Source organism: Homo sapiens, chromosome 5 (genome assembly GCF_000001405.40).
Source record: "Homo sapiens chromosome 5, GRCh38.p14 Primary Assembly".
NCBI classification, from domain to species: Eukaryota; Metazoa; Chordata; class Mammalia; order Primates; family Hominidae; genus Homo; species Homo sapiens.
Genome location: NC_000005.10, coordinates 144,131,956 through 144,142,453, shown reverse-complemented (window position 1 = coordinate 144,142,453; position 10,498 = coordinate 144,131,956). Strand labels below are relative to the sequence as shown.

Here is a 10,498-nt window from a genome sequence, read left to right as displayed (position 1 = left end):
TCCCACTTGCCGACTGAAGTAAAGAACAGAAAATTTTAGGACAGTTTCTGTTGTCACACCTTCCTCATTTGTTTATATCTTCATTTTCAACTGCTCTTCCACATCCAGATAGAATTTGATCACAAAGTTGATATGCACAGTCTCACCAAAACTGCCTGTGTGTTACTTGCTGGGAAGAGGGCCATTTTCCTCTATAGGCCAGGCTCAGGCTGTGAGGCTGCAGGCTTTTTTCTAACTCTGGAGACAAGTGAAACTCCACTCTGTCCTGGTTGCAACAGGAACAGAAATCTCTTTCTCATGCTTCATTGATGGTGCCGCATCTACTGCATTTATTCATTCAATACACACTTACTGGTGCCTATTATTTTATATTTAGTGAACTTGCTAGGTCCAGAAGATAAAGAAAGTGGATTGTTTAGTCCTTGGGAGCTTAACAGTCATATGAGAGCAACAAACAAGCATCAAGAACACTTGATATTTCCCACCCAACATCCATTTCCCTTCTCCTGGATCTCAATTTTCCTCTGGAAAGCACCTCCTATCCCTCTCTCCCTCCCTCAGTACTTGGGTTTCAGGTGTCTGACTCTGCCTCTGACTTCCTGGCAAGGCATGGATTCCACCTAGGCCTGAGCGTTGCATCCTTTGCTTCCACTAATTGCTTCAGGGATAAGCGTGTGGCCTGACCCAGTGAAATGCAACCTGGGGAATTTTGCTGAAACTTGAGTATCAAGTGACCTGGGAGTATGTAGGCTTGAATCTGTTGGCAGCTGCCTTGCCATGACATGAAGTCTAAGGATGACACTAGTGTGAAGAAAGGCAGTTAAGAGATGAAAAGAGACTGGCCTTAGTGATGCAATATGAGTCTTTAAATCAAAACATGCCCAAAGCTAGATCTCCTTCTGAAGTGTCAGAAGATTTCCATTTTGCTTGATCTTATTTGAACCAGATTTTCTGTCACTTTCACCAGATATAATGTTATTATAATATATAATAACATATACAACATATGTAATATATATTATACCATATATTAATATATAATATATACTAATAATAAATACAGGGATTATTACAATGAAATGTGATAAGTGGGTGATATGATAGAAGTTAGTGCCAGCAATAAGTAGGAGAAATATCTAACCCACAGGGAGGGATGGCTTCCATAGAAAGTTCATTTATTTAAGAGCTAAATCTTGAACACTGTATTAGTTTATTTGGATCACAATAACAATGTCCTACAGACTTTGACTTAAACAATGGAAATTCATTTCTTCTTGTTATTTTCTCATAGTTCTGGAGGCTCAAAGTCTGAGCTTAGGTGTCAGCAGTGTTGATTTCTTCTGGTCAGCATGGGAGTTTTGACCTGCTCCCCTTCTGACCGGGGCCAGTTAACCCCTCCTTAGGAAATCTGATGGCCCCCCCCACTCCTGGGAGGGTCACCATATTGATGCCAAACTTAGTGCAGACACCCAGTCAACATAGGGTACTACAGCCCAGAACTCCTGGACTCAAGCGATCCTCCTGCCTCAGCCTCCCTAGTGCTTGGGACTACAGACACGCACCACTGCCCCCGACAGGGTTGACTTCTTTTGAGGCCTCTGCTTGGCTTTCAGGTGGCCATCTTCTCCCTGTGTCTTCACATGGTCTCCCCTCTGTATCTGGGTCCAAATTCCTGATTCTTGTAAGGATACCAGTTACACTGGATTAGAGCCCATCCTAATGATGTTATTTTAACTGAATTCCTTGTATGTTGACCTTATCTCCCAAATACAGTATATTCTGAGGTCCTGGGGATTAGGACTACAACATATGAATTTCGGGGGAGGTAGGACAATTCAGCCTATAACAAATACCTAATTTGGGTACAAAGATAAATAAAAGTGGATCGTTAATCTCAATGAGCTTACAATCTACATAAGACTGGCACAATAACCATAATAGCTAAAGAAATGAAAACATACACATTTATTAACAACATACACATTCTAGAATCTTTTGGATTTATCATTTAGGATAAGCCAACAAGTCCATGAGACCACTACTATTGAAATGGTATGCTAATGGAAGCAGTATAAATTATTGAGCTTTGAAGAAAAGGTCCCTTCCAGGAAAAGTGGTATTTGAGAAGCCCTTTGAACAATGTGTACAATTTTAGTAGGTAAATGGCCAAATTAGATGTGAGGGGGACCTTGGCGATGTGATACTTTCACCCAAATCACCCACGCAGGCTAAATAGGTCACTGTTTACCATGTCGTTCCACCTTCTTTCCTGTTTCAGTGTATCATACCATTTAAAGATGTTCCTAAACGTGTTTTTAAAGGTAAATTTTTAAACAGTGTTCTAGCTGTCTTGCTTTAACTAGTCCCTCATTGTTATTTCTATCACTACCAAACATGTGAAAGGGTTGAGATATTTTCCTACTTACGAGCTAAGAAGTAAATCTGCCAGAGTTTCATGGATGTTGACAGATGACATGAGGCTCTTGGGTAAGAGATAAAAGACAGCTACCCTAGCATTCTTTTCCATCATTAAGAAGGCCAGATGATCACATGCAGTGGGTGTGTTACAGAAAAACAGCCTTATTTTAGGGAACCCAGATCTTCTAGGATAGTCAGTAAGCATGCCTGGTCCGTGCTCCAGAGGGAGACAACATCTCTATCTTACAAGGCTGTTCACTGCACAGATGTTCATCAAAAGACAGTCTGGAACAAAGGAGCAGTGAGTGCCTTGCTCACGTGATGTGCAGAAACCTAAGCGGCCCATGGAGAATTATCTTCTAATAGTTATAAACAGCTTTGGCCAAATGAATTTCCTGCTGGTTTTGTCGCAAATAAATCACGAGCTATCTATATATGAAAGGAATGTTTTTCCAAGCCTTGGATTTTGACTCTGGGTTTTTCTTGCTTCCATTCTGTGGTTTTGACAAGGGGTTTAATTGTCCATTCTGCAATTCTCTTCCTCTCCCTTAACAGCAAATATATAATGCTCTAACCCTTAAGCTCACCTCCTCATTACATCTTTCTTCAAATTTCTCTCAAATATAGTAATTGACTTTACCAGGGATCAGCAGACCTTGGTCAGTGGACCAAAGAATTGTATTTATGCTTTAAAAATGTTCTGAGAAAACAACAAAATAGGACATAGAGACTGTATGTGGTCCCTGAAGCCTAAAATATCTACTATCTGACCTCTCCTAGAAAAGATTTGCTGACCCATGTTTCAAACCTCTGGAAATGCTACAATAATTGAGAGCAATGTCCCCTTCCCCTCTCCCTATCCCTTACTGTTAAGTTTAAATCATGAAAGGTTTAGAGTCAGCTCTAAAGTACCTACTGAGCCAGGCAAAATTATTCTCTTCTTATAACACATCATTCGCTGTTTTTCATTTTCTTCATAATAAATCTGGTTTTATTTTCCTCTTCTCCCTCGCATAGCTGTCTTACCATCACCTGCCATGTGCATAAAATGTAACTATCCACTATAACAACAAGCAGTATGTATTAGGAATTACTTGTTTCAGGCAGAGTCCTAAGCATTTTATGCATCCTCACAGCATCTCTTTGAGGTAATTACTGGTATCTCCTTTATACAGATAAAAAAAAAGGGTTAGTTAATAACCTATCCAAGGTCATGACACTTCTGAGTGGCAAATCGACAAACACGTTTTCCCGGTTCTGTCTGTCAATAGTGTGCCTCCTTGGGGGCAGTGGTCTATTATAATGGAACCCTCCCATCTTCACCAGGAGAGAGGATGAGAAGCTGAAAAGAAACAGAAGGAAAGATAAGAAAGATTCTTTATTGACCATCCTCTATGTGCTAGGATTCCTGCTGAACATTTTGAAAAAAAAAAATAAAAAAAAAACACTTTGTTTCACCTCTGACAACAAAGGTAAAAAGGCTTTCCATTTTTATACACAAAGAAAATGGAATTCAGGAAGCTCAAGAAACTTGCCCTAGTAGAACTAGAATTTGAATGATTATTTGTTTGACTCAATATTAGCCTGTGACATTTCTGCCGAACCACTTGGAGTGGCTGCCTAGGAACCAGTATGCACTTCCTCGTGCAGTATGTTGAGTAGCACAGATTGGGGTAAGCAAATGCTCATGTAAAGCACCCATGAGGGGCACATAAGATGTTGGATGCTGGCAATACAGAGCATAGCAAGACCCACCTGCTTCCCTTCTACAAATTCCAACTCTTACTTAAGTGTAAAACATTGTATGATTTGGCAGAGAAACTAGTGAGTATTTTTTGAATCTCATACACTGTACTTAAATCTAGCTTTCTTATATTTTCGTGTCTTTTGTTTGTTTTCTGACAGTCAATAACTTAGAGTTAATTAAAAACAGCATTTTCACCTTGATTTAGGATGTAAGTACATGTCTCAGTGAAGTCAGTTTTCTTTAGAAACCTTTTACAAGCATTTTTTTTAGAAAAAAATTAATAGCTATAAATCTGTATATACACATCATTCAGCCATGACATCATCAGGTAGATGCATATAAGTTCTGTCTCAAATAACTGACAAATATTTTAATGTTCCTATATGCCAAGCACAATTCTAGATGCTGAGGAAACATCACTGAATGAGATTTTTTTAATGTACTTTAATCACTTCTGATATTCTTTCCCAAAATTCATAACCTTAGTCTAATCACGAGAAAATATCAGACAAACCAAAACTGAAGGTCATTTGATTAAATATCTGACTAGTATTCTTCAAAAGTGTCAAGGTCATGAAAAGCAGAAAGAGAAAGAGGAAACTGTCACAAATTGGGGGAGATTAAAGAGCCATAATGACTAAATGCAATGTGAATCCTGAATTGGATCCTGAAACAGAAAAATTATGTTAATAGAAAAACTGGAGAAATCTACATGAAATATATAGTTCATTCGATACTATTGTGCCAATACTATGAAGATCAATTTCTTGGTTTTAATCAATGTACCATGATTTTATAAGATGTTAACATTCGGGAGGCTGGATGAAGAATATATGGGAATTATCTCTATTACCTTTGCAGCTTTTCTGTAAATCTAAAACTATTTCAGCTTCAACATGTTTTAGAAAATCCATGCCTTCATAGAGATTAAATTCTAGTGGGGGAAGTAAAACAAACAAAATAAAATGAGTCAATAATATGGCATAAGCAAGACTGGATAATTGTGAACATTCTCAGACTCTTTAAATCAAAAGATACTGAAAGTTCAAAATGGCTACCCAACAGTGGCAGTGAGAAAAGGCTGTGTATGTGACTCTACAACCTTTTGTTAAAATTCCAAGAGATTTAAAGGTCAGTATTTTCAGTCATTCACACACAAAGCCTTTTTGATATTTTGTTCATCATGGTTTTTTTTTGCATTAAATTTGAGGTTGTTTTTAAATTACGTTAAAATATGATTTTGTGGCATCCACTTAAAATTTGGCTCACTGAAGACTTACCCTACTCACCACAGCCTTAGGTGTTATTATGCCTATTTTATAATTAAGGAAACTCAAGCATAGATAGGTAAATAATATTGTCCAAGGTCACATAGCTATGAAGTGGTCAAACTGGAATCCAAAATCTATGTTCTTAAACATGATACTACACCATTTTTTTTAAATACTGATAACTTTTAAAGACTATTGCAGTTTGGCCATAGATAGCAGAACGTAGTTACTTGGGTACCTCTGCTGTCACTTCATTATCTGAATATGCACCTTCTTACTACCACAACCTCCAGCAGACCTTCCTGTTTCATTGCTAAGTGACTAACTAACCTTCATAGTAAAGCAGGTCATCAGACACATGGGTTTTTTGCTGGAGTCTCAGTTAGTAAACCAGTTCCATACTCCAAAGCTCTTCCATGAAATAAAGGGCCTGGACTTAGTGTGACCTATTTTTCTCCTTCTTTCTTTTTTGTTGGCAGCTCAATTGTCTATAAATCAGATAGGCAAAGTAACCAAGTATAAGTGGCAAATATGGTGCATTACTATATTGATTGTGAACTCCAAATCGGTCCTAGAGAAAGGTTTTGGTCCAATAATTGGATTGACTTGTATATGGTCAGGCATCAAGAATAGCAACAATGCATACCACTGAAATGGTTGTAGTTTTAAAAGCGGGGGAAAAAACCAATACTTTTGTTTAGGTAGAATAAAAAATAGATAAACCTCCCAGGATATTTATTAGGGAATTTTTGCTATAACCAATTTCCAAGTGGCTCCTACATAGTTCATGGTTAGCGTGACACATGTGGTCAAAATATACACAGGCACACTTGTGAAGATCCTCAACTCAACCCTTTCACTGCCCAAACTTCCGCAATTTCTTTCCCACCAGCTGGCTGATTTCTAAGAGTCTTAAAATAAAGTACAAAGCCTTTCCATCTGCAATAGGAGTTAAATCTAGAATGCTAGTGTCCTTGAAAAAAGGAGAGCACATGACTTTAATTCACCTCAACTTCTAAATGGAAGCTATTAGATCTTTTACAAAGAGAAGAAGAGAAATGGGGAAAGTGAGCTTTATAGAGTTCAAAAGGCAAAAAATATGCTGACTTCCTTCAAAACATTGTCCATGATGGTTCTTACAAAGGTGCTATTTCCTGCCTAGAGCATTTGTGTGGGAACCCATCAGTGAAGGTCTGCTTAAGGTTCTACCAGCATATTCTTTCCTGGAATATTGCAGTAATGTGCAAAATAAGCACATGATTATTTGCAAGGGTTAGAGGTCCGGAAGCCATGTAGAATTACTCAAGAACCCTAAAGAAGCCTCAGATTACAATATTTCTTCTGCAATAGTGAATCCAGAAGAATCCAATTTAAGATCTTGCCAACCAGAGCCTATTATAGTTTGGGGATAAGGACAGAGAGAAGTAAGTTTCCTTAGTCAGAGTTACTGTGAATCTTTTCACTTCTAATTATATCACCTTTAATGACAGCTTCCTTTTACCACTGAAGGAGATTAAATTTTCCATGACCTATAAAGTCCCGCATGGACTGGCTGCACAGCTGGCCTCTCCAGCTTCAGCTCATGTGACTTCCCAGCCCCTCACTGGTTACTCTTAGTTCTTCAAACACCCAGTTTCTTTCCTCTACTTGGATCAGTCTTCTCCCTGTTCTTGCCCTGGGCCACCCCTACCCATCTTTCAGATAGTAGCTGTCAAATCTCACTTCCTCAGGGAAGCATTCTCTGACCTCTGGGGCTACTCTAGGTCTCCTGACCATGTATGGTCATGCTACTCTGCCCTTTTCAACATGCTTAGTGCAACCACGCTTAAATAATTATTTGTCCAATCATGCATAATCACTTGCTTAAGGCTTATCTTCATCACCCAGTCTCAGTAGAGCAGAGACCTCATCTATCTTGCTACTGACTACCCGCAAAGACCAGAACCATGCCTACCACAGAGTGGATGCTCAATAAATATTTATTATATGTATAAATGAACTAAAGATAGTTTTTTAGACCTAGAAAAGTCCTAGGATAACCTAGTTCAATCCCCTAATTTATAGGAGAAACTAATGTCTAAGTAGGTTCACTGCCTTGCCCAAAGCCTTACCCAAAAGCAAAATTAGAGATAGAATCTAAATCTCTTCACTCTTCCAATACACTTTTCTTTCCTGTCCTGATGGAAATCGCCTAGTCTAGTGATTCATCACACTAGAGGAGAAAGCAATTTCTGGCAAGTTATTCAGGACTTTAATGAAGTTGCAGGCTTGTTTTATTTAATACTCAGTTTGTTTAAAATGAGTCCCATAGTCTGTGTTTGTTCCACCATTCCTCATTGCTGGATCAAATGTTAATTATCAAGAAGAAGAGATAATGTGGCAGTTTGGCAAGTTTTTGCTGAACTAGCAAATGTTTAATAGGATCACAGATGGAAGCATTTGCATGTGGGAGGGATTTTTTTTTCCCCAAGGTTTTGTTCTAATTAAAAGTTACCAGTTCAAACCAGGTTACCAGTTACAGCAAATAGAAGTTTGTGCATTCTAGAGCCTGAACAATGCTACTGTTTCTTCACCATATTCATCTCTTGCCTTTCCCACACTTGACAAGCTGAGAAATATTTAATAGCCACTAGGTTCATGAATAAAACAGAATAGTTACAAAGCTCTTTCATGATTGCCCCTGTGCATTGGACAAGCAGTGAGTTTTAAGGGACCAGCAAGAAGGAACATTGCTTGTATTTCTTTTTCAGTCTGTGGTAATAGCTCATTTCAGGTAACCATTAACTGAATGTCTTCCCTATGCCAGCACGGTGTTCGGTGCTGGGGATGTGAAGACAAATAGGGCTCCAGAAAAGTAGGGGAGAGAGGCATAAAATTATTTAATTTCTGTACAAAGTGCTAAATGCAGGGATAGAGGTATAAAGACGATGCTTTGGGAGCCTGGATTGAAAGGGCAATGGAGATTCCTTCTTCTCAAATGAGACCATGCCTAATCCAAAGTTTAAAGGATCAGAGGAATTATCTAAGTAAAGAGAGTGGAAAATAATTTCTAAGGCAAGGTTAGAACAAGAAGAGAGGCATGGAGTGGTATGTGTAAAAAGAACACAGGCTGAGCTACCTCAGAAGAGAGTACACTGGCAAAATAAAAAGAATAATAACAATAAACAAAGCTATTATGAACTGTCAAATCTCTATCATTATTTTCAACATATGTTAAATCAGTGCTTCCAAAACTTAATTTACATTTCATCTTTACAATTCTTATTGTAATTGCATGCCACCATTTATTTATTTACTTAATATTCTTCCATAAATCCATCCATTTTAGCCTCCCCAAGGGAAGATTATCAATTAAATCAGTGGTTTTATCTACTAGTTTTATTTTTCTAATACTTATTAAGATAAATACATAACTATTAAAATATAAAAATGCACGCCAACTGGAAACATCTTAAATCCAGCTTTTAGCCAAAGTAAGGGTCACGTGCCCCTGGCTGGATTTAAGTGAGAGGTGTGTGCCCCTGGTACTAGAGTAAAGAAGAGACTGGCTAGTTCATAATATGTTATGCCAGCTCAGCAGATTGATTTGATTAGGAAGGGTGATGTGGAGTCCAGCACAGCGCTGACTTTAATGCATGATCCCCACCATCAAGGTGCTGAATGATGGCTTAGATTAGTTTTCCTGTTCGTAAATCAGTAATGATACTGACAATGACAGGAATAAGAGCTATCATATGATGAGTGCTTGATGTGTGGCAGGCACTGCACTTGGCACTTTACATTCATTTGCTCATGAAATCCTCACAGCACTTTATAAGTTCTATTGTTATACCCATTTTAACAGACTCACAGAGATTAGATGTCTTATCAGAGTTCTAGCTTTTTGGTTAGGAGAAAATATCACAAGAAAGCTGCTTCATGTAATTGAAAGAGAACTTTTCCCAGACTTAGAAGGCCAGGGCTTTGGTGCCAACTCAGTCATTCATTCACTATGGACTGCAGAAGAGTCTCTTAAACTCTCCAAGCTACAGGTTCCCTTCTGTGAGGCGTTTACACTCAATGGTCTTTTAGATTATTTGTAAACTGGAGACTCTTCATCTATTTCCTTATCCGTAAAGAGGAGCTGGTAATACCAACCTCACAGGATTATTGTGAAGATTAAATGTGGGTAAAGTGCCTAGCCCTATAATTGACACCTAGTAGAATGCAATAAGTGGGATTATAAATAAAAATAAGATTAATCATAATCATCTTGATAACGACTTTGATAATCTTCAAAATAGATAATTTATCCCCAAATAAATATGAGTGAATTAATTATATCACCATATAGAAAGGAGTGTGCTAGCTGACTATCTTTTTAAGCAGGTCAGTTCAGTTTGATTTCTACATGCTTCCATATGTTTAAATCAGAGGCTGAGTACATACCCTTCACTGGTGTGGTAGTTAGCCTCCAAGATTATCCCCATGATTCTAAGTGCCCTTGGTAGTCTCCTTCTACATTAACAAGGGCTGACCTGTATAACCACTAAGATATTATGGAAATTGTGTGACTTCTGAGGCTAGATCCTAAAAGACATTATGGCTTCTGCCTTACTCTCTCAGGGATTGCTCATGAGGATACTCAAGAAGCCCTGTAGAGAGGCCCACATGATAAGGAGCCATGTGAGTGAGCTACCTTAGCTGTTGACCCTCCAGCCACAGTCAAGCTTTCAGATAACTGCAGCCCCAGCCAACATCTTGAATGCAATCTGCTGAAAGACCCTGCACCAGTACCACTCAGCTGGGCCACTTCCAAATTCCTGACCTACAAAAACTCTGAGATAGATGGTTGGGTTTTGTTAAGCCACTGAGTTTGGGGTAATTTGTTTTATAGCAAAATGAATTACTGCAAAGATTAAAGAAAATATTTTTTAACTGAAAGCATATAGTCTCAGTGGTACGTCTAATCCAGGCCACCAAGAAACTGTGAATGTTCAAAGGGAGGGCAGAAGGAATGGCAGAAGAGGCATGAAGATCTCTGCAGCACATGAGGGAAAGCCCTTTGGCTCTCTAAGAAAAT

The 10,498-nt window shown here is 38.4% G+C and overlaps 1 pseudogene; it reads right to left on the bottom strand.

Moving 5' to 3' along the window:
* On the bottom strand, positions 1,338-1,573 carry RN7SL87P (RNA, 7SL, cytoplasmic 87, pseudogene; annotated as a pseudogene).